This window comes from Homo sapiens, chromosome 16, assembly GCF_000001405.40.
Source record: "Homo sapiens chromosome 16, GRCh38.p14 Primary Assembly".
Classification (NCBI taxonomy): Eukaryota; Metazoa; Chordata; class Mammalia; order Primates; family Hominidae; genus Homo; species Homo sapiens.
Window position 1 is genome coordinate 81,271,750 of NC_000016.10, and position 25,199 is coordinate 81,296,948.

General features: G+C 46.9%; 1 protein-coding gene across 6 annotated transcripts in view; it reads left to right on the forward strand.

The window, feature by feature from the left end:
• BCO1 (beta-carotene oxygenase 1) overlaps positions 1-19,393 on the forward strand; it is a 52,454-nt gene extending 33,061 nt beyond the window's left edge. For 2 of the 6 annotated variants that reach the window (NM_017429.3, XM_017023289.2), the window contains 4 exons: positions 9,108-9,213; positions 13,791-13,885; positions 15,546-15,657; positions 18,599-19,393. In NM_017429.3, the coding sequence (NP_059125.2) occupies positions 9,108-9,213; positions 13,791-13,885; positions 15,546-15,657; positions 18,599-18,828 (543 nt within the window). In that variant the 3' untranslated portion in view covers positions 18,829-19,393. Of the gene's footprint in view, positions 1-9,107; positions 9,214-13,790; positions 13,886-15,545; positions 15,658-18,598 lie in introns of those variants that run through there. The other 4 variants (XM_017023287.3, XM_017023286.3, XM_011523109.3 and 1 more) reach the window with 4 other exon arrangements.

A 25,199-nucleotide genomic window follows, 5' to 3' on the forward strand; every position in this document is an offset into this window, starting at 1 on the left:
TTTGCTTGTTTGTTTGTTTTGAGACAGTCTCGCTCTGCCGCCCAGGCTGGAGTGCAGTGGTGTAATCTCGGCTCATTGCAACCTCTGCCTCTGAGGTTCAAGCAATTCTTGTGCCTCAGCCTCCTGAGTAGCTGGGATTACAGGTGCCCACCACCATGCCTAAGTTTTTGTATTTTTAGTAGAGGTGAAGTTTCGCCATGTTGCCCAGGCCGGTCTTGAACTCCTGAACTCAGGCAATCTGCCCCCCTACGTCTCCCAAAGTGCTGGGGTTTCAGGTGTGAGCCACAGTGCCCGGCCAGTACTTCATTTCTTTTTATGGATTAATAGGTACATACTATCTTACAGACTGCTTTTCTTTTCTTTCTTTTTTTTTTTTTTTTTTGAGAAGGAGTCTCGCTCTGTGGCCCAGGCTGGAGTGCAGTGGCGCAGTCTCAGCTCACTGCAAGCTCCGCCTCCCAGGTTCAAGCCATTCTCCTTCCTCAGCCTCCCAAGTAGCTGGGACTACAGACACCTGCCACCACGCCTGGCTAATTTTTTTTTTGTATTTTTTAGTAGAGACAGGGTTTCACCGTGTTAGCCAGGATGGTCTCAACCTCCTGACCTCATGATCCGCCCGCCTTGGCCTCCCAAAGTGCTGGGATTACAGGCGTGAGCCACCGCGCCCGGCCCAGACTGCTTTTCTACCTATTTATGTATCGAAACATCTCTCCATGACATTAAATATTCTTTGAAACATCACTTTAAACATTTGCCTAATCGTTCATGGCAGGGATTCATCACCATTTGCTTACACAATTCTCTGATGTTGGAAGTTCCGTTCTTGCACTAAGAATGACCACCAGGCCAGACATTATCCCCAATTAGGGTGATGTGGCCCAGGCTCTGGGCTTTACTTACAGAGACTTACAAAGGCTTCTGGCTCCAGAACTCACTGACTTCATGACTTAATTAATTTAAGTGAAACCAAATTCAATTCAATTAAATGTTGATGGCTTACATTGACTAAATGCAAGTTATGTGCCAGGTACTTTGCTAAGCATTTTGTTTTTCTTACCTCACTTAATGATCAAAACAACCTGTGGGAAACGTCCCTGTAGAAGCCTCATTTTACAGATGAACAAACTGAGGCTCAGAGAAGTTAAGAAATGTGGGCAAGGTCACAGCCCAGAGTGGCAGAGCCAAGACTGGAACCTGCCCCAGTCTGTCTCTAAACCCCCATTTTTTTTTTCTTTTTGTGGGGGATGGAGTCTTGTTGTGTCACCCAGGCTGGAGTGCAGTGGTTTAATCTCGGCTCACTGCAATCTCCGCCTCCTGGGTTCTAGCGATTCTCCTGTCTCAGTTTCCCAAGAAGCTGGGATTACAGGCATGTGCCAGCACACACAGCTCATTTTTTGTTTGTTTGTTTGTATTTTTAGTAGAGATGGGGTTTCACCATGTTGGCCAGGCTGGTCTTGAACTCCTGACCTCAAGTTATCCACCCACCTCGGCCTTCCAAAGTGCTGAGATTACAGGCATGAGCCACCGTGGCCGGCCCTAAACCCCTGTTTGTAACTACGAAGGAGGAGGAACTCTGCTATTCTCCCCAGTAGCCCTAAGTCCTAGGAAAGAGCCTCAGATGGGCCACACTTGGCACTCTGCAGGCCTGGCAGACGGTCCTACAGTGTCCAGGGAGCCTTTTCCCACCCTTACCGCCCAGTTTCTCAGTGCAGGAATTCAGCCACCCTCCCAGCCAGCGGGCAGGGGAGCTGGCGTTTGAACTGAGGTTTGTCTGACTCCAGAGCTGGGGTCCTCTCCCATCTCTCCAGCATTTTCCCACCCATGGCCATTTGTGTGTCTCTGCCATGGTTTTTGTCATATTTTATATCACCTCTACTTAACATTTAAAAATCCTTTTTTTTTTTTCATTTCAATCAATTCACTCTCTACTTAGCTCATTTGAAAGGAAACACATCACTACCCAGTAGAAAGCTGGCAATGCTTGCTGCACAGAGAAGACAAGCATGAGAATAAAATAGTGGAAATAAAGCAGAGGTCTTGAGCTCCAGCCAGAGGGCTGTGGCTTACCAAGACCTGATCTCTCTGTGAAAAAGCCAAGTTTTAAAAGTATTAGGCATTAAAGACATCGTGGCACCGCACTGAGACTCTCCTTGACCTAGTCAGAACAACTGGAAGAGAAAAAGGCATTGATTTTCTCCCCTATGTGACTCAGGGCTATTGGATGAACAGCCACGTCCCATGAAATCAGCACATGAGCCCTGGGCGCCTGCACCCCTTGCTCCAGAAGCACCGCAGTGCAGCCCCTCAGACTTTCTCCTGGTTCCAGGAAGTACTGAGGAGTAACAAGGCACAAAGGTAGTAAGTCTCAAGGCTGACCTCAGCCTAGGGATAGTACACAGAGAGGAACATACTCCCTCCCACTGCCACACCTTACAAGATTTTATAACCTTTTGTCATGCTCGAGAATGCTTTGCTGCCTTGGAACCAAGCTAAGAATGTTAGCTTGTGTATCTTTTTTTTTTTTTTTTTTTTTTTGAGACAGAGTCTCGCTCTGTCGCCCAGGCTGGAGTGCAGTGGCGTGATCTCGGCTCACTGCAAGCTCCGCCTCCCGGGTTCACGCCATTCTGCTGCCTCAGCCTCCCTAGTGGCTGGGACTACAGGCGCCCGCCACTACACCTGGCTTATTGTTTTGTATTTTTGGTAGAGACGGGGTTTCACCGTATTAGCCAGGATGGTCTCGATCTTCTGACCTCGTGATCCGCCTGCCTCAGCCTTCCAAAGTGCTGGGATTACAGGCGTGAGCCACTGCGCCCAGCCCCCTAGCTTGTGTATCTTTAAAAGCCATCAGGTGTTCAGGCACAGTGGCTCACGCCTGTAATCCCAACACTTTAGGAGGCCCAGGCAGGTGATCACCTGAGGTCAGGAGTTCAACACCAGCCTGGCCAACAAGGTGAAACCCTGTCTCTGCTAAAAATGTAAAAATTAGCTTGGCGTGGTGGCCCCTGCCTGTAATCTTAGCTACTCAGGAGGCTGAGGCAGGAGAATTGCTTGAACCCAGGAGGTGGAGGCTGCAGTGAGCTGAGATCCCACCACTGCACTCCAGCCTGATCCCGCCACTGCACTCCAGCATGGGCAACAGAGTGAGACTCCATCTCAAAAAAAAAAAAAAAGAAAGCTGTCATATGAACCATCTGCTGCTTTGAAACTAGCAAAGGAAAGCAAGCCCTGGGATGGGTAGCTCCAGCCACGCTTTTTAATTGCTACTTATTGTCCCTTAAATATGTCTTCTTACTGCACTTTCAATGGCTCCGCCTGCATAGTGAAATCAGAAAGTCAGGCAGGTGGACAGAGCCTTACATGCCCTGATCCAGCAGCTTTGGCTCCACCCCATCCAGAGGTTTACTGGAGAAGCGACTTCAGGAAGATGCTGCCCTTACTCAGATGCCCTCTGGGCCTGAGGCCTTTGCAGGACATTGCTTTCCCCTCTGTCTGAAACCCTGTCCTCCTGGGCTGACACTCCTGCTCCCCCTGGCTGGCTGCACATTGGGATCCCCTGGAGAGCCCTGAGACCCCCATGTCCGGGCCTTGGCTTCCGCCCAGACCGGGGAAGCCCAGGCCCGGGTGTGGTCTCAGAAACCCCCAGTGATTCTGCAGTGCAGCCGTGGCAGAGAACCTCCAAGGTCAGGGATCAGCAGCATGACCCCGCAGCTGAGTCCGTATCCTCTAATGGCGCCTTGTAACTCTTTGTCAACATTTATCTCAAGTGTAAGTAACTTGTTCATTTCCCTCTTCCTGTTCAAGCCTAAGTTCTGGGAGGACAGGGACTCTGTCTCATCAGCAGTTCATCTGCTGCACTCAGAGGGTGCTCTTAAATATTTGAAATGAATGAATGAATGATGAATACATGAAAAATGGGAAGCAAGTTCTCTAAAAGGGCGCAGCATCTTCCTTCAGCCTTTGGAACCCGTCCCAAGTGAAAAGTGCTTCCCACATAGAACAGGCAATAGCAAATTCTATTTAAAAGGCCAGGAGGTCCTGAATGTCCCAGATTCTCTTGCTTTGGGACCAGCTGGGGTCAAAGGAAGGCAGGGCTGGCAGGGCCTCTGGGCACCGTGGGCCTGTTTACGCAGGGCGGTGTGGGGGTGCCTGAGGCAGGGCTTAGCAGTGGCGGGGTGTGGCTGGGAGGGGTGTGGGCAGGGGTGGGTCATCTGGACCTTGGCCCTGCCCTGGTGCTGCAGGGCGCTGTGTGAGGCCCGAGGTTCGTGTGCACCCACGCCTAAGGGGCATTCACAGGAGGAAGCACTGTGGACCTGGAAGGGATGGCTTTGATGACTGGATCAGTGGGTTTGGTTTCTGTCTCCAAATGCACAAATGCAGACACTCCAGTAAGAGAAGCACCATTCATGGAGGACCCGCTAGGTGCCAGGCTCTGTGTTCAATGCCTTTTCTGCTCTTAGACCCTGGCAAGAGGGGCCCCTGCTCTGGGTTTGGCACTTTGGAGGACTGTGGTCCAGGCTTTCTTTCTCTAGCAGGACCCGTACTCCACAGGGTGAGTTCACAGGGCCAAGGCATTCTGACTACCCAGAGGGGTGCTTCCACCCCCACCCCAACCATGTGCTGGACACCTGGGATCCCAGAAGCTCCTGAAGGGCCCAGCCTTGCTTCCAATACCCGTCTTCCTAAGGGCAGACTGCCACTCTGCTGTTCCTGCCACAGGCCCATGAGGTGGCCAGGGCTGGCTGTTGCCTTGGTTGTGCTGGCTAGGGCATCCACGCAGTGAGGGATGGAGCCTGGGATGAGGCAGGAAGGAGCCAAGGGCCAGAGACTGCCTTATTCCAGCTCAGAACTCTAAGGAGTCCTGGGGTTCTCAATTCACAGTCATCCTTTCAGACCAGCACAGTGCATTGCTGGAACATTCTGTCTGTCCAACACAGTAGCTACTAACTACGAGTTGTTATTGTACACTTGAAATGTGGCTGGTGCAGCTAAGGAATTGAATTTTTAATTTTACTTAAGCTTATTTTAAAATTAAATTTAAGGCCAGGCATGGTGGCTCACGCGTGTAAACCCAGCACTTTGGGAGGCCAAGCCAGGCAGATCACTTGAGGTCAGGAGTTCAAGACCAGCTTGGCCAACATGATGAAACCCCATCTCTACTAAAAATACAAAACTTAGCCAGGCATGGTGGCTCATGCCTGTAACCTCAGCTACTCAGGAAGCTGAGGCAGGGGAACTGCTCGAACCCGGGAGGCGGAGGTTGCAGTGAGCTGAGATCGTGCCACCGTATTCCGCCTGGATGACAGAGTGAGACTCGGTCTCAAAAAAAAAAAAAAAAAAAGTAAAATAAAATAAAATTAAATTTAAATCGCAACATATGGCTAGCGATTGCCGTTTGGGACAGCCTGTTCCACGCCATCATGAAGGGCTGCGTGTCAAGGCAGGGAGAGAGATGGTGTTGGACTTAATTTGCTTGGTGTATTTAGACAGAAGGTTGGTGGGCCTCCACTTGTACTCTCCTCCTGGCTCCTGTGAATTTTAGGGGCTGTGAAGTGCTTTGCTAATCTTCATCACAATGTTCTAAGTTATTTATGATCCCCCACGTCTACAGATGAGAAAGTAACTTGCCCAACTTTTTAGAATCATCCCCAGGACTTGAGCTGGAACTGGAATGTACGCCTGTCTGCCTGCACGATGTGTGTGGCCCTGGACCAGCCTATTTTTCTCAACCATTATTTAATTTAATCCTAACATAATGCTCAGATGCAGGTGGAAACCGCCTCACTTATACCCAGCACCACACTAAAAGTTATGAATCACCACCCCGATTTTACACAGTGGAGGAAACTAGCTCTGAGAAAAAGAGGTCTGCTCGAATCTGCATGGAAAACCACAGCGTTGAATTTCATATGGCAGGCAGCATTCTAGGGGATGACAGTGATGACTGCTTCTTATGAGAGTTCCCTTAAGTGTCGGGATTTCAATGTAAGCTTGCAAGATGGTGCTGGATTCTGGCTGGAAAGTGATGTCTTCCTAAAACTGAGCATGCTGGCCACTGAAAGCAGCCAAGTCATGTTTGTTATTGCTGTGTGTGGAAAAATTCACAGTTTATTCCTCAACCAGTCCGACCAGTTTGGGGCTGGAGTTATAAGATGTCTGTGCAGACCAACTCCCTAAGAATCAAGGCTGGAATGTGCCCAGAGGTCTCTTGCTGTCACATGCTTAGCAAGGTACCAGGAAGGGCCTCCCACCAGCTTGCAGAGCCATGGAGGTGGAGGCATTGAAAGTTTCTGTTTATTTTATTTTATTTTTTTTTGAGACAGAGTCTCGCTCTGTCGCCCAGGCTGGAGTGCAGTGACGCGATCTCGGCTCATTGCAACCTCCGCCTCCCAGGTTCAAGCGATTCTCCTGCCTCAGTCTCCTGAGCAGCTGGGACTACAGGCATGTGCTACCACGCAGGGCTAATTTTTACATTTTGAGTAGAGATGGGGTTTCACCATGTTAGCCAGGCTGGTCTCGAACTCCTGACCTCAGATGATCCACCCACCTCGGCCTCCCAAAGTGCTGGGATTACAGGCATGAGCCCCCGCACTCAGCTAAATGTTTCTAAGAAGCCACCGATGTGCCAGGTGCTGGGCTCCTTTGTCTCTGCATTTCCTCTCATTTGATTCTTACAGCCACCGTGCAAAACAAGTCTTGCCCCTTGACAGCCCAAAGAAAAGCTTATTGAGTTGTGCATTCACTCATTAATTCAGCGATTACTTCCTGGGCACTAGGTGCCAGGCACTGAGCAAAATCTGGTCCCTGGCTTCATGCGGCAGACAAGCTAAAATAAGGAAAAGAGCTTCATAAAGGAGATAATTACAGCTCAGGGCCAGTGCCTTGGAGACACTGCAGATTCCAATGGAGTTGTTAGGGAAGGGGTGTTTCTTCTGAGACCTCAGGGTTTGGGGAAGAACCAGCCTCAGGGCCTTTGCACTGCCTTCACCCTCTACCAGCAATGCTCTTGCTTCTGGGCCAAAGAATCAATGCAAAGGCCCCAGGCACAGGGTCTGCTTCTCTCCATGTGACTTTGGACCAGTCCCTTTCCTTCTCTAGGCCTCAGTTACTTCTACAAATCGAGACTGAATTAAACAAATTTCCGAGGACCCTTGCGGTTCAGCTGCTAAGTTGCAGTAAACTTTTCATGCTCTCCAACAAAAATGCTGCTATCCCTAAAATAGGTTGGTTTTAATTATAAAAGCCATTTTGAGCCAGGTGTACTGGCTCATGCTTGTAATCCCAGCACTTTGGGAGGTCAAGAGAGGAGGATCACTTGAGCCCAGGAGTTCGAGACCAAGCTGGGCAACATAGTGAGACCCTGTCTCTACAAAAAATACAAAAATTAACCAAGGATGGTGACGCATGCCCGTAGTCCCCCAGCTACTCAGGAGGCTGAGGTGGAAGGATCACTTGAGCCTGGGAGTTTAAGGCTACAGTGAGCTGTCATCACACTACTGTACTCCAGCCTGGGCGACAGAGCAAGACCCTGTCCCAAAATAAAATAGAAGCTATCTTAGAAAATGTAGAAAGTAGAGAAAAGTTTAAATGAGAAGTCAGCCATAACAATAATGTTCCATCCTCTTGTTCCTCAATATCTTCCAGAGCCTAACCCGTAGTCACCTCCAGTAGTGGTGGCAGCAATATAATAATAATAAGTGATAGTAGTAGTAGTATGGTAATAATAGTAATAATAATATAACAACGTCATCAATAGAAGCAGCTGACATTCATCTAGCACTTATTGTGAAGCAGGCATTCTTGTGAATCATTTGTGCAGATGATGTCATTCAGTCTGCACAATAACTCAAAGATGCATATGCTATTAATATACACATAAGGAAACGGAACTATAGAGAGGCCAACTGACTTGCTCAAGGCCCCACGGTTAGTACATGAGGGAAACAGGGAGTAGTAGATGCTCAATAAATATTTAATCATGCTAAATCCCTCCCCTTGCTTATACTGATGACAGTAAGATACTGAACACAGCAAAATCTGACTGTAAATTGAGACCAAGAAATGTCCTTGAAGGCTGTTTTGCCACCAAATAATTTTTATTGCATGTTTGTTTTCATTTCTGCAGTGATAACTTTTCCTAGAAGAAAATACTGAAAATACAGAGAGGCATACAAAAAAGAAATTAAAGTCCCCCCAATCCCATCATCTGTTGTATTTTTAATATTTAGTATATTTCTGGCTGGGCGTGGTGGCTCACGCCTGTAATCCCAGCACTTTGGGAGGCCGAGGCGGGTGGATCACTTGAGGTCAGGAGTTCAAGACCACCCTGGCCAACATGATGAAACCCCATCTCCACTAAAAATATAAAAATTAGCCAGGCATGGTGGAATGAACCTGTAATCCCAGCTACTCTGGAGGCTGAGGCAGGAGAATCGATTGAACCTGGGAGGCAGAGGTTGCGGTAAGCCAAGATCACACCACTGCACTCCGGACTCCAGTCTGGGCAACAGAGTGAGACTCCATCTCAAAAAAAAAAAAAAAAAAAAAAAAAAAAAAAAAAAAAAATTACACACACACACAGACACACACACACACACACACACACACATTTAGTATATTTCTCTGTCTCTTCTCCGTGTAACTTTTTTAATGTGGTTGAGCTCAGACTGCATACGCAATTTGTCCTGTTGCTGCTTTTACTCAGTGTTATGTGATAAGCATTTCCCATGTTGTTGTAAACTCTTTAGAAGCATCCTTTTAACGACTGATGCAGCTTTTTATAGGTGAATCATCTAGTACTTTAAAAGTGAGAACTTACTCTCAGAAGCACATTAATTTTCCCTGTGAGGGATAAGGCAGGCTCAGAGTAAGAGAAAAGAGTCCTATCACCTACCAGGTATGTGACCTTGGAGGAGTCACCTTAAATGGCCAATCCTCATTTTTTAAACTGAGACTAAGGATAACAACAGGAAACGAGCTGCTTCCTATGATTAATGTGAGGCTAAGCCAAGATGACATGTATTCAAGCATTTTAAAAAATATATACACTAAAGCAAATGTTTGCTCTGGATTACACGTTTTTATTTTACTTTTTGAAAACTGAATTTTTTCAGAATGCAGAAGTGGGCACAAATTTAATCAAAGTGGCATCTACAACAGCCACGGCCCTGAAGGAAGAAGATGGCCAAGTCTACTGCCAGCCGGAATTTCTTTATGAAGGTAAAATGCATCCTCTTGTCCTGAGTTTAGGAAAGGGGCAGATTTTCACAGGGAGCCCAGAGGCCTCTTTACATAATAATTCCCTCCTGTGCATGGACAAGGGCCAAAAAGGAAAGGGTCTTGGGATGCCCTGGTGAAAAGCATCTGGGGACATTTCTCTTTTCTCTATCTTCAAATGCTTCCTAGGAAGGCAATGGGTGAGGCCAGGCACGGTGGCTCCCACCTGTAGTCTCAGCACTTTGGGAAGCTGAGGGAGGCAGATCACTTGAGGCCAGGAGTTCAAGACCAGCCTGAGCAACATGGCGAAACCCCATCTCTACTAAAAATACAAAAATTAGCCGGGTGTGGTGGCGCATGCCTGTGGTCCCAGCTACTCAGGAGGCTGAGGCATGAGAATCACTTGAGCCCAGGAGGTGGAGATTGCAGTGAGTTGAGATTGTGCTATTGTACTCCAGCCTGGGCAACAGAGCAAGACACTGTCTCACAAAAATAAAAATAAAAATAGGAAGGCAGTGGGTGGTTGTTGGGCCAGATGACTTCTGCAAATGCTGTCCCTTACTGAACATGGGCTTACTGAACAGGCACAATACATTTCCATTTCTTCCTCTCAACATCCACAATATCCTGCAAAAATAGGTGTTATCGGCCCCGTAATATAGCGAAGAAAACTAGGCCTGGGAGTCCTTGAGGTACACACAGAAAGCAGACCCTCTAGAACAGGAGTCACACCCGTGGAGCAGGGCTCCTCAATCTGGGCACCATCGCCATCTGGGGCTGGGTCATTCTTTGCAGTGGGTGCTGTCCAGGGAATTGTAAGATGTTTAGCCACATCCCTGGCCTCTACCCACTGGAAGCCAGGAAGACCCCCATCCTGAATTGGAGCAGCCAAATATGTCTCCAGACATTGCCAGCATCTCATGGGAGCACCATTGCCATGATGGAGAACTTCTGCCCCAGAATATAAGCCCGTGAGGCGAGAATTGTGTTGCTGTGCTCACAGCGTATCAGCAGCACATGACACAAAGGCTGGCATAGAGAGGTCTGTGTTCCATACGCCAAAGTGCAGAATGAATGGACTTGTCCAAGGAGACTCAGCTAGAGAGTGGGACAGAGTGCATTTCAACTGAGCGCATTGGCTGGGCACGGTGGCTCACGCCTGTAATCCCAGCACTTTGGGATGCTGAGGTGGGCAGATCACTTGAGGCCAGGAGTTTGAGACCAGCCTGGCCAACATGGCGAAAACACATCTCTACCGAAAATACAAAAATTAGCCGGCATGGTGGTGCACGCTTGTAATCCATAATCCCAGCTACTCAGGAGGTTGTGGCAGGAGAATTGCTTGAACCCCGAAGGCAGAGCAGAGAGCTGAGATTGCGCCACTGCACTCCAGCCTGGGCAACAGAGACTTTGCCTCAAAACAAAAAACAAAAAACAAAAACAAAAACAAAAAACCCTGAGAGCCTTGTTCCATCAGCTGCCCCATGCCAGGAGGTTTGGGCATCTGGAAGAGCACATAGACTTGGGGACTCTTTTAGGATGACCCTTGGATTTGACCTAAGAATCCACTTCTGTAAAAGGCATCCCATGCATCCCATAACCGGTTCTGTGATGCAACTCATTCCCCTGGAGTCTTTAGAAATGAATCAATAGATGATGCCAGGTCTGAAGGCATCAACCCCCAACCCCCATCCCTGCTCACCCACCACATCCCTTTTTTTTTTTTCCTGAGAAGACCACGCTTGTTTATTGTTGCAATATTGTCCACACTAAAAAGTGTAACAATAAAGAAACCACCCGTAATCCCTGCCCCCGTGACAGCGCTTTGGGCTACCCATCCAATCCTCCCATCATGCATGGATTGTGTGACATAGGCCGGGTCCCTTCTGGCGAGTTCTCAGACTCTCTCATTTCATCCCGGCAGTGTCATTCTTTTATTGTTGACATTAGATTTGTTCACGTACATCAAGGGCTTAGTGTGGGGTCTGGCCTATAGGGAGAGTCCAGCCATTGGCAGCAATATTAGAACAGTCCTAAGAAGCAGGCTCAGACAATCTCAAAACTTGCCAAAAGGCAGGCAGCAGAGCCAGGTTCTGACCCCAGCAGTCTCTTATCCCAGAGCCCATTGCCTCTGCATTTGTACTTTTGCAAAATGCATTCCATATCATCTAGAATGTTCCGAAGCTGCCTCTTGCACTTAATGTATGTAACCTGAGTATTTTCCCACATCCTGAAGATTCTTCAAGAACATGGCTGTTAAGGACCGGGCATGGTGATTCACACCTATAATCCCAGCACTTTGGGAGGCCAAGCCTTAATTTCATGTAACTACTGGCCAGGCGCAATGGCAATTACAGGCATTACTCATGCCTGTAATCCCAGCACTTTGGGAAGCTGAGACAGGTGGGGCATCTGAGGTCAAGAGTTTGAGACCAGCCTGGACAACATGGCAAAACCCCATCTCTATTTAAAAAAAAAAATACAAAAATTAGCCGGGGGTAGTGGTGCACACCTGTAGTCCCAGCTACTTGGGAGGCTTAGGCAGGAGAATCGCTGGTCTGAGAGGGGCCCAGGAACATCTTGGAAGTCTCAGGCCTACTTTGAGGTCAAGGGCAGGCACCTTCTTCTTATCTAAGTATGGGAGTGTTCCCTCTGCCTCACCTTCATCTGGGCCTGTCCCTTGGAAGTTTCATGCTTTCTCATTTGTGGGATTGGACATCTGCTTCCCATCTCAATACTTCATTCCCCTTCCCGCCCCACTGAGCCTAATCAGCATTTATCCATGGATGTATCTCTGCTTCCTCTTTTCTTGGACATTATATCTTCACCAGCAGTTGGCGGCAACCACCTAGAATATTTCCTAAGAGTTGAACATCCATTTCAGTATTCAGACTTAGAAATTCAATTTGATGCAATAGGCATATATACATATATACACATTTACGGCCAAGCACGGTGGCTCACACCTGTAATCCCAGCACTTTGGGAAGCTGAGACGGGCGGATCATGAGGTCAGGAGATCGAGACCATCCTGGCTAACATGGTGAAACCCTGTCTCTACTGAAAATACAAAAAAAAAAAAAAGTAGCCGGATGTGGTGGCACGCACCTGTAGTCCTAGCTACTTGGGAGGCTGAAGCAGGAGAATTGCTTGAACCTGGGAGGCGGTGGTTGCAGTGAGTTGAGATTGAGCCACTGCACTCCAGCCCAGGCGACAGAGCTAGACTCCATCTCAAAACAACAACAACAAACAAACTATATATATATATATTTTTATATATTTATATATTTATATATAAATATATATTTATATATTTATATATAAATATATATTTATATATACACACACATTTACAGAGAAAAAATAATATTTTTGATTATGTAAAAATAATAAGCATGATGAAAATTTCACATAATGAGAAACTTAGATTCTATCATAGAAAATGTAAACTGTAAGGCAGTTAGAACCCCAGCAATGCTTCCAAATTTTTTCTCTTCATTTGTAACCTAGCGGAGATACAATAATTCTATAACCAGCATTTTACACTTAACCTTATGGTATGGACACTTGCCCATGTTATTAAAATCATTTGTAAATGTTGTTTTTCCATAATGTTATTATAGAATTCACCAGATTTAATTAACTGTTCTCCATTGACACCCTTTTCCACAGCTTCCCATTCTGTTTTATTTTTTAGTTTTTATTTTAGAGATGGGGTTCTTGCCATGTTGAGCAGGTTGGTCTCAAACTCCTGGCCTCAAGCGATCCTCCCATCTCAGCTTCCCAAAGTGCTGGGATTACAGGCATGAGCCACCATGCCTAGCACAGCTTCCTATTTCTTTTCTTTTTGTTTTGTTTTGTTTTCTTTTCTTTTCTTTTCTTTTTTTTTTTTTTCGAGACAGAGTCTCACTCTGTGGCCCAGGCTGGAGTGAAGTGGCACGATCTCGGCTCACTGCAACCTCTGCCTCCTGGGTTCAAGTGATTCTCCTGCCTCAGCCTCCTGAGTAGCTGGAATTACAGGCATGCGGCACCATGCCTGGCTAATTTTCTTTGTATTTTTAGTAGAGGGAGGGTTTTGCCATGTTGGCCAGGCTGGTCTCAAACTCCCGAACTCAAGTGATCTGCCCGCCTCGGCCTCCCAAAGTGCTGAGATTACAGGCATGAGCCACTGCGCCCAGCCAGCTTCCCATTTCTCATCACATATGTGCACATGCACGCACACATATATACACATCAGCACTTTTTTGAAAAAAAGCTTTAAGAAATTGCAGTAGCCTCTGATTTTAATCATGCAATTCTCTTTGATTTCTATGTTGGATAATTAAAGATGTTTATACACTTAAAACCTAGGTCTGGAGTACCTTGCTCCTGGACTCTCTAATAGAGCTGGGGTAATTAAATTACCAGAGGCTCCCTCCCCTGCCTTTGACCACCTTTGATCCAATGCAGGCTCTAAATCAAGCTCAAGGATCTTGGTGTGGAAACGGATTCTGAGGAAAGGCTACCCAATCTGACAGGAAGGGTGGATGCTCCCAGCCCCCAATGATAGGGGCTTCATCCACCTCCTCATTTCCTTGTAGGCTTAGAGCTTCCACGGGTCAATTATGCTCACAATGGAAAGCAATACCGATATGTCTTTGCTACAGGAGTTCAGTGGAGTCCAATCCCAACCAAGGTACTGGTCTCTGTGTATTCACAAGCCTTTCCTACAGTGATTGTGTCTATATGCAAAGCTGAATTCTAAGGTTCTGAGACGTTGATTAGAAAAGAGGAGGTCAGAAGGAGTAAGCCTAGGATAAAATAAATTTGAAGTAAGGATGTTCAGCTGGGAGAGGGAGTGGTACCTAATGGGCTAAGGTTCAGGTAAGAGGTTGTGGCTGGAGTTTATTCACTGATTTCTTTATTCAATACATATTTAATGAGCACCAATTATGGGCTACAATGTGGTAGGCACTGAGGGTAAGGAAGTCAGCAGGGAGATTCCCAATCCCTGACCTAAGGAACTCACCCTCTCCAGCAGAGAGGGTGTAGCTGAAACTTAGAGGATTTATTTTGCTTCTTTTTTTGTTTTGTTTTGTTTTTTCCTTTTTATTTAAAAAAAAAATACAGAAAGAGACAGAGTCTCATTGTGTTGTCCATGCCTGTCTTGAATTCCTAGGTTCAGGGGATCCTCCTGCCTCAGCCACCAAAAGTGCTGGATTACAGCCTCGAGCCACCATGCCTGGCCCATTTTGCTTCTTAAGCTACCATTTGTCAAACACTTACTGTGTTCTGGGCACTGTGCTAAGTGCTGTGCAGGTGTCACTTCTTTTTAATGTCTTCATTTTTCATAATAAAATGGAAAATCTTTTTTTTAAAATGCAAACAGAGCAGGAATGTACACAGCCAAAAATTAAGCCTCCACCCCTCCATACCCCAAGCCACTCTCCACTAATCCCAAACCCCAGAGGGAAATAGGCCTATTGGGAGATTAAGAGAGATTCAGGGAATTGCACCCTTAAAGCAACAAAGGGGTTGTATTGTACTTTAAATGTTTGCATTGAATATATTCATTTATTTAACTCATATAAAATTGCAGTGCAATTTCAAATACAAGATATGTTCGATATTTTTAGGCAGGGTGTGGTGGCTCACGCCTGTAATCCTAGCACTTTGGGAGGCTGAGGATTGCTTGAGACCAGGAGTTCGAGACCAGCTTGGTCAACAATAGCAAGACCCTGTCTCTATATTAAAAAATAATAATAAATTTTAAAAGATTTTAATTTTTAAAAGAATTCCTTCTACAGTATCAGCTACGTGGTGGCCAGAGGACCCATGTTTAAAACTGGGGGAGGAGGCCGGGCGCGGTGGCTCACACCTGTAATCCCAGCATTCTGGGAGGCTGAGGTGGGCGGATCACCTGAGGTCAGGAGTTCAAGACCAACCTGGCTATGGTGAAACCCCGTCTCTACTAAAAATACAAAAAATCAGCCAGGTGTGGTGGCACACGCCTGTAATTCCAGCTACTCAGGAGGCTGAGGCAGGAGAATCACTTGAACCCGGGAGGCCGAGGTTGCAGTGAGCCAAGATCACGCCATTGCACTCCAGCCTGGGCAACAGCCTGGAAACTCCGTCTCAAAAAACAAACAAACAAACAAAAAACTGGGGGAGGAGAGTTAGCTCCTGTCCTTTCTTGGCTGTGCTCACCAGAGGTAGCTGTCATTGGGAGACTACGTCAAAAGTCTACATCCGATGGGCTTCATCTCCTCTGTGTGGATCTTCATGCACTCCTATTTGCAGAGAATAGTATTCTCTCAAACAAGTCATTTATGTGTTTTTCCTCGTTGGATGTACAGATAATAAAATATGACATTCTCACAAAGTCATCCTTAAAATGGAGAGAGGACGACTGCTGGCCAGCGGAACCCCTGTTTGTGCCCGCGCCAGGTGCCAAGGATGAGGATGACGGTAAGACTCTAAGAAGCCACGCCTAGTTGCTGCACGTTACTGCAGATCGCCCTCCAACAGAGACACCATCTGGGGGCAGCTGACCCCCCCAGGTCATAAAGGGGGTGGATTGGTGCTTTGAAGTGTACATCTGTCTGGGTCAAAGCTAAAGGGTGAGGGAGTCCCCAAGACCACCTTTACTTCTGATACCAATTGCAAAGTTTGAGGGTCCCCAAGATAGCCTTCAGCTTCAATAATTCATTAAATCACCAACCTCACTGCAAGTGCTTATGTTCACAGTTCTGGTTTGTGGCAATGAAAAGATACAGACTAAAATTAGCACAGGGAAGAGATGCACAAGACAGAGCCCAGCAGGGACCAGGCAGGAGCTTCCAGGTGCCTCTCCAAGTAGAGTCACAGATAGCACTGACTTCTCCCGACAATGACGTATGACAATACTCACCGAGTATTACTGCCAGCCAGGAAGCTCCCCTGAGACTCAGTATGGAGAGTTTTTATTGGGACTCAGTCATGTAAACATGGTTGACTGCCTGTGTGTCTGACCTTTATTTAGTCTTCAGTCCTCCTGGAGATCAAGTTCATACCACACGGCACAAGGCCCCACCATAAATCCCACTGTAAGGGTAGACTGCCTGATGTGGCCCAAGGCCCCCAGGTATACAAAGATACTTGTATCAAGCAGGACATTCGACGGGTATAGAGGTGACCTCCCAGAAGCTGAGGACAAAAGCCAGCCCCCTCTTTAGACAAGTTTAAGTTTTTTACCGCACAAAGTCCATCTCCTTTCCACTCAGTGACATTAAACTCTCTCAGAATGCAGAATCTTGGTTTTAAAATTGATTGCAGTGGCTGGATCCCAAACAAATGTTTTTAAGAAATGGAGTCTTGCTCTGTTGCCCAGGCTGGAGTGTAGTGGCATGATCATAGCTCACTGCAGCCTCAAACTCCTGGGCTCAAGTGATCCTCCTGCCTCAGCCCACCAAGTAGCTGGAGCTACAGGGGCACACCACCATGCCTAGCTCATTCTTTTTATTTTTTTGTAAAGAAAGGGTCTCACTATGTTTCCCAGGCTGGTCTCAAACTCTTGGGCTCAAGCGATCCTCCCATCTTGGCCTCCCAAAGTGCTGGGATTACAGGTGTGAGCCAGTGCACCTGGCCTGGATCCCGGATCCAAATTTTTAACAATGTATAAGCATGTAAATGTTTCACAGAGCCGCTGGAAATGTGTATTTGTGGCCCACCTCTATTTTCTAGGTTTCCACTTGACTGAATGATGCTTTCCCTCTTCCATTCTCAGAAATGCTTCAGAAATGCCCTGCCCACAGCCCTGAGGAGGCTAAGGAGGGTAACTAGAACCATAGGTGGGGATGCCACCTGGCCACACCAGCAATGGGGCTGCCACACCTGCAAGGAGGGCAGGCTGCCCCACTTGAGCCTGCCAGCTTCTTCCCTCAGGTCACAAGGGAGTGGTTTTCCACCTGGGCCTTGTCTTCCTACTGATCATGGCATGGCACGCCAGGCCAGCAACCCTGTGTCACTGTCATCTCCAAGGCGGGGGACCACAGGCCTTGCCTCCTGTTCAGGTCGTTCTCCCACTCAGTGGGACACTTCCTTTACATTCTCTGTGAGGAGGGAGTATCGTTGTCTTCATTTTACCAATGGGATGCTCAGAGAGTGACCTTTTTGCCCAAGGTCACACACCCCTTACATTCAGAGGTAAGATTTAAATCCAGGCCAATCTGACCTCAACGATGCTCAACTGCTCTTCCACCTGGGACCCTCTGGAGGCATTGAGAGTATTTGCAGGAAGTTGATATGCATTATTTCATTTAACTCTCTATCCCTTCAGAGTGAGTATTGAGAGTATTTCCATTTTACAGAGGGGAAGGATGAGTTTAGTAGCACTGCTACATGTGCAAGAGATGAATTGGGCCCATTGAAATGCCATTCTTCAAGCCAGGTGCGGTGGTTCATGCCTGTAATCCCAGCACTTGGGAGGTCAAGGTAGGCAGATCGCTTGAGCCCAGGAGTCCAAGACCAGCATGGGCGATATAGGGAGACCCCATCTGACAAAAAATACAAAAATTAGCCAGACGTGGTGTCATGTGCCTGTAGTCCCAGCTACTTGGAGGGCTGAAGTGGGAGGATAGCTTGAGCCCAAGAGATCGAGATTGCAGTGAGCTGTGATCACACCACTGCACTCTAGCCTGGGCAACAGAGTAAGACCCTGTCTCAAAAAAGCAAAACAAACAAACAAAAAACCGAATACCACTCTTCGATGCCTGCAATAATTTACAGAGTGCTTTCAAAATCCATCATTCAGGAGATACTCTCGGCAACCCTGTGGAGTGTAGGTGAGATTATCGCATCTCTACAGATGAAGAGACTGAGGCTCCGAGAGGTCAAGGGACTGGCCCAGCCAAGGGTAGAACCAGGTTTTCTGGTTTGTTCATTCGTTTGTTTGTTCGTTTGTTTTGAGGCCGTGTTTCACTCCGTCACCCAGGCTGGAATGCAATGGCACGATCTCGGCTCACCGCAACCTCCACTCCCAGGTTCAAGTAATTCTCTGGCTTCAGTCTACTGAGTAGCTGAGATTACAAGCACCCACCACCACACCCAGCTAATTTTTGTATTTTTAGTAGAGATGGGGTTTCACCACGTTGGCCAGACTGGTCTCAAACTCCTGATCTGAAGTGATCCGCCCACCTCTGCTCCCAAAGTGGCGGGATTACAGGCGTGAGCCACCGCGCCCGGCCTAGAACCAGGTTTTCTGATGCCTAGTTGCCAGGCCTTTCCCTTCTGTTACAGTGTCTCAAATTCACTCCCTCCTGTTTTGGTTAGATACATATGTTTAAAGAGGGCAGAGAGACATGCTGAGAAATTCATCCCTCCGACTGAAGCCTGCACTTTTACGAAGTGTTTTTTTTCTGTTTCCCTAAAGGAGTAATCTTATCAGCCATTGTCTCTACTGATCCCCAAAAGCTGCCTTTTCTGCTCATTCTGGATGCCAAAAGCTTTACGGAATTGGCCCGTGCCTCTGTTGATGTCGATATGCACATGGATCTCCATGGATTATTCATTACAGACATGGACTGGGACACAAAAAAGCAGGCCGCTTCTGAGGAACAGCGGGACAGGGCTTCCGACTGCCACGGGGCTCCTCTGACCTGATGGTGTTGGGGTTTGGGTAGGGGAGGGGAGCTCGGCTGTCAGAACTCCATGGATATGTTTCTTTGGATGGAGGGGAGGGCCTTTGTTACCTTTTGCACTTATTCTTTCTGTGGGTGCTTTGACAAGGGCATGGCAAGAGAGCTTGTCAGTATCATTTCTTTCATTTTATTTTGGCTGTAAAAATTTTGTTTGAAAGTCAAACATTTGAACATCAAATATGTATTGATTAGATCCAGTCCTTCTAAGAAACCTCCTTTCCTTTAACAAAAAGACCTTGACCATGAATCAGAGATTGTATTCAATGACATTATCATCATTTTTAGAACGAGCCACTAACCTATTAGAGAAGAGGCAGATAATTATTTATCATTGTGCCTTCCTCTGTCTCTTTCTCTTTCCTTTGCTCCCTCCCATGTTTCTGGTGGACTAAATTGTGTATCTGGGAGTTCTCACTTTCTAGCCAGGCCTGATGAGTTAAGTTACATGACCAGGAAGGTTATGCCACTTTGTGGTCATTCCATGCAAGTCATGGCGTAATATAAAATAATAAAAACTTTAAAGTCTGCTCAGACTTTATTTTTACATGGCTTCTCCCTCTGAAGGTCTTCTAAGGCAATAAAATAGTTGCAGAGCTTGATGGTTCACAGCCAGCACGATGCTTCATTGTACAATCGACGGGACTAACAGATTGCTGTGGGACTCCTCTTTGCAAGAGGGGATTAATAGGTACTGGACATTGACCTGGCTAGCCACGGCCGAGGGGCTCAAACCCAGGATTGAGTCCCAGGGCCTGGGCTGGCATGAGGAGTTCTTCCCTGCTGCTGAGAACTAGAGCAGTGGGCTGTGCCCATGTGCGTAGATAAAAGGAGTTTCTCCAAGCTTGTACGTGCTGCCGAGATAAACCAGGCATTTTGGGCAGCGTGGAAGGAGGTTGAAGGCCCCTGAGCCAGGTAGTGATGGGGATGGAGAAAGTTGGGAACAAGGCAAATGGGATGCTACACCACTACCAGGAGCCCCATAGGCATCTGAGTCTACAGTCAAGTGGGTGCCTGATGCATGGTTTAAAGAAACAAAGGCAGGCTGGATAATTCCCAGGTCATGGGATCGGGGGAGCTGGGTTTCACAGCCTTATTCTGCACTTACTTCCTCTCCTGAATCTGGATTTCATTCAGTCACCAATGGGGATTCCATGACGTGTCTGGAGGATGGGAAGGACTCTCTAGTGGCACCGCATGGAATCCCCCAGAGGGGCAGCTCCCTCCAGGATGGTCTTAGCTTTTGCCCTGCACCCACCATGAAGCCATACTTAGCCTCTACCAAAATGTAGGCTCCATGAGGCCAGGGAGTTAGGTTTTTTTTCTTTTCTTTCTCTTTGACAGGGTCTTGCTCTGTCACCCCAGCTAGAATGCAGTGGTGCAATCTTGGCTCACTGCAGCCTCAACCTCCCAGGCTTAAGCGACCCTCCCACCTCAGCCTCCGGAGTAGTGGGGAGTACAGCCATGCGCCACCACACCCAGCTAAGTTTTGTATTTTTTGTAGAGACAGGGTTTCGTCATGTTGCCCAGGCTGGTCACAAACTCCTGGGCTCAAGTGATCCTCCCGCCTTGGCCTTTCAAAGTGCTAGGATTACAGGCACGACCCACCTTGCCCAGTCTTTTTTTTTCTTTTCTTTTCTTTTCTTTTTTTTTTTTTTTTGAGACAGAGTCTCACTCTGTCGCCCAGGCTGGAGTACAGAGGTGCGATCTCGGCTCACTACAACCTCCGTCTCCCGGGTTCAAGCTATTCTCCTGCTTCAGCCTCCCCAGTAGCTGGGACTACAAACACGTGCCACCATGCCTGGCAATCTTTGTGCTGTTGTTTTCTTTTTTGTTTGTTTTTTGTTTTTTTAAGTAAAGATGGGGTTTCACCATGTTGGCCAGCCTGGTCTTGAACTCCTGACCTTAGGTGATCTGCCACCTCAGCCTCCCAAAGTGCCGGGATTACAGGCGTGAGCCACCATGTCCAGCCAAGCCTTTTTTTTTTTCTTAGTTGAAGTTTTTATTGAGATAATTGTACATGCACATGCAGTGTTGAGAAATTATACAGAAAGATCTCATGCAGACTTTACCCAGTTTCCCCCCCATTTGTAACATTTTGCAGAATGATATAGTATAATATCACAACCAGGATATTGATATTATCCACCAATCTTATTTAGATTTCCCAGTTTTACTTGTACTCATTTGTGTGTATGTGTGTATAGTTCTAGACAAATTCTAGACTGCATCCACCATCACAGGCAAGATACCAAATAGCACGTCAGCACGAGGATCCCTCATGTCACTTTTTTTATCACCAAACCTACCTCCTGCCCTCCTCACCTCCGATCCCTAACCCTTGGCAACCACCATAAAATGGTGTCATTTCAAAAATGTTATGTAAATGGGATGATGCGGTATTAACCTTTTGGGATTGGCCTTTCTCACACAGCAGAATTCCTTGAAGATTCATCCAGTCATGGTGGGTATTCATTCAAGTCATTAGGCATTGGGTGTGTCTGACTCACTACTTTATCCTCAACACTTGTAACACTGCCTCGTGTAATGTAGGCACTCAATACATACTTGTTGAATGAACGAATGCACCAGTTCTCCCAACAGATTCAACTGGTCAATGCATCAACAAGAAATGGATGTCTTACTGGAGAGCTCCTGGGAGATGGGGAAGCGAGTCCCACATGGAGCCCAATGACAACACACACAATTCCCTGCTAAGTTTCCTCACTCCTGCTACCCCTGATCACCCCCTCTCTCTTCTCCTCCCTGTTGGTCCCTCAATACCCCTCCTATCGTTCTCAGCATTTTCATTTTTGCCCTAAGCTTACATACCCTGTTCAACAAAAATGCAAGCCATGGAAATGGCAGGACAAAGACCATCTGCTCTTCCTCAGAATCGTCTTTGGGAACCTCAGTACCTCCAGCCTTGATAAAATGGACGAAGGGGGACCGGGCGTGGTGGCCCACCTCTGTAATCCCAGCACTTTGGGAGGCCAAGGCAGGCAGATCACGAGGTCAGGAGCTCCAGACCAGTCTGGCCAACATGGTGAAACCTCGTCTCTACTAAAAATACAAAAATTAGCCGGGCTTGGTGGTGGGTGCCTGTAATCCCAGCTACTTAGGAGGCTGAGGCAGGAGAATCACGTGAACCCAGGGGGCGGAGGTTGCAGTGAGCTGAGATCGCGCCACTGCACTCCAGCCTGGGTGACAGAGTGAGACTCTGTCTCAAAACAAAACAAAATAAAATAAAGCAGAATAGACAAAAGGGAAATGCCAACTCTAGTGGCCTGAAAAAAGCACGATTAAGGGCTGCGTTTGGGTGGCAGGAATGGAAAAGAATTGAAAAATGTGACAGGCCCTCAACCACTCATTCTTCTACTTTAAATATTTGAGAAGAGGGTAGAATTAAAAAATGCTTCCCCACCTCCATTCTACTAGATTCCTATTGCCTAACAGTACCCAGAACTAGTCATGAAAAAGGGTGCAGTTCTGCGGGGAAGAAAAATATGTCCGTGGTTTGTTTATCTTGTTGAAGATGACAGGTAGAATACCAGACTGATGAGGGAGGCTGGCACACCAAATCTTTCTTTCTCAGTTTCAAAAACACCAAAAGTTGATGCCAAGATATTCAATTTATCTGGGTCCTTAATTCTGACACATTTCATACATAAGCCAGGGTAATTAGCTCAAAACTCCACAAGAGCTATGATGCGTGCTCCGTTCTTGAAGGACCCAAGAGACGCTCCATCTTACCCTCTGAGCCTTCCTTGTTATGTTTCATGTGGGTGGAATATATGACCAGGAAGTTCTGCAGGATTTGTTTATTGCTTTGATAAAGCCACAGCATTTCTCAAGTGCTCTATGCTGCAAGCGTCAGGAACACGCTAGGAAACCCAAATGTTTGCTGACCCACTAACTTTTTCCACCAAAGCTTTCTCTAATTTAATCCCAATTCAGGAATAAGCTGGATAGACACTTGGGCAATCAACTCACGAAAAATCTAAGTGTGTTGGCGTGACATCTACAATATTTGCACAAACACTTCCTCCTGACCAAAGTTCAGCCTGACTCCTTTAAGAAGGTTGCTGGTCCAGGTTAAGTATAAACACCTTTGATGGCTTCTTAAAAACTGTTTAAAGACTGTTTGGGTGGTTTTTAAATGGCCAGGAGATGTCTTTCTCATGACAAATCAGTACATGCAGACCAAAAAGTCATCACCACCGTTCTCAACATCCAACAGTGATGAGATGTATGGCCTCAACACTTGAACTTCTTCCTGGGAGTTTAGACTCAGAGACCCTGCACAGAAAAACACAGCGCCAACTGCCCCAGCTCCTGTGCCACATCAAAAAGCATCCTTTGAGGTCCAGCCCCAGCTAAGAGGCAGATTTTCTTGGACACAACCAGCAAACAGAGATGTGGCGGCACTGTATTCAGCCAGGGTGGGGAAGAGAACAGTTTCTTTCTCATAACTAAGAAAGGCTTTCCCAAGGCCAGGCGCAGTGGCTCATGCCTGTAATCCCAGCACTTTGGGAGGCCGCGGTGGGAGGATCACTTGAGGTCAGGAGATGGAGAACATCCTGGCTAACACGGTGAAACCCAGTCTCCACTAAAAATACAAAAAATTAGCCGGGCTTGGTGGCGGGCACCTGTAATCCCAGCTACTTGGGAGGCTGAGGCAGGAGAATGGCGTGAACCTGGGAGGCGGAGCCTGCAGTGAGCTGAGATCGTGCCACTGCACTCCAGGCTGGGCGACAGAGTGAGACAACGTCTCAAACCAAAAAAAAAAAAAAAAAAGAAAGAAAGAAAGAAAAAGAAAGGCTTCCTGGAGGGCTGGGACTTGAGGACCTGCCTCAGTGGCCAGAGGGAACTGGCAAAGGGCTGGTCCTGCCAGGTTGGGAGTGCAGGGCTAGGATTTGGAGACAGATGTGGTTGCCTGAACAAAGCAGGTGCAGAGGGAATTTCCCAAGAAAGAGCAGTGGACAGAGTCAGGCTTAGGGCTTTTTGTTATTTGCTTTTTGTTTTTTTTCCTGTGTTAAATCTTATCTGTTCATTGTAGAACACGTGGATAAGTTAAAGAAATAAATGAGAAAGATACCACAGTTACATTACCAAAAGGAAACCACTGAAATCATTTTGATATGTTTTTCTCCAGGTGTTTTTGAGTGCGTGTGTGTGGGCAGCGTTTACATATTAGTGATCACCAGTTTATAACCTACTCTTTTTCACTTAACATATGATGCAAGCATTTTCCCAGGTCATTAAATTCTTTTAATGGGTGCATATTATTCCTTCTTGGGGGCATGGTGTAATGTAGACTACCCTACTGTTGGACATTTAGGTTATTTCCAATTTTTGGCTATTATACATAAGGCCCTGATAAGTAACGTCCTGCATAAAATTCTAGAGTTCATCCCCTACCCTGTATTTGGGTGGCTGTTACTGTTATTATCTTCAGCTAGATTCCCCACTGAAAATTTCTGAGCCAAAGAGTAGGAAAACAAGGTAATGGGTGTTTTCTTGAAAGGCCAAAGGTTTGGCTTGATTCATAAGACTGAAACCAAGAAGACAATCTTGGATATTTGAGGCTCAAATGGTCAAAATGGTGATAGGGCTGAGAAAACACATTTGTGAGGAAACTGAAAAAACATGGGTATATGGTAATATCATTTTAGTTCAAATTCTCCCTTCTTCCTTTTCCCTAGTCTTTCCACTTCTCCATATTCTTCCACTCCATACAAATGCATGGTTTTTGTTTGGTTGGTTGGTTTTTGAGACGGAGTCTCGCTTTGTCACCCAGGCTGGAGTGCAGTGGCACGATCTCAGCTCACTGCAACCTCTGCCTCCTGGGTTTAAGCGATTCTCCTGCCTCAGCCTCCCAAGTAGCTGGTACTACAGGCATGCGCCACCACACCCGGCTAATTTTTTTGTATTTTCAGTAGAGACGGAGTTTCACCATGTTGGCCAGGCTGGTCCCGAACTCCTGACCTCAGGTGATCCACCTGCCTCGGCCTCCCAAAGTCCTGGGATTACAGGCGTGAGCCACCGTGCCTGGCCACAAATACATATTCTTTTTCAGGCATACATTCACACATTCATTCACTCATTCAGTGATAATCAAGACTGTGCTTGCATATAGTGCTGGAAAAAACCAGTGCTTCACTGTCCTCAGGGAGTATATGGCTTTGTGAAAAGCCAACACAATACAATGGAATGGAGGTGAAAAGTGGGCGTACCCTCTGCAACCTTAGCCAGGGACGGCCGCAAGGGGAAGGATGGTAGCAGTTGGCAAGGTGAACAGGTGATCCAGATTTAAAAAGGGGCGTGTGCCTGGCC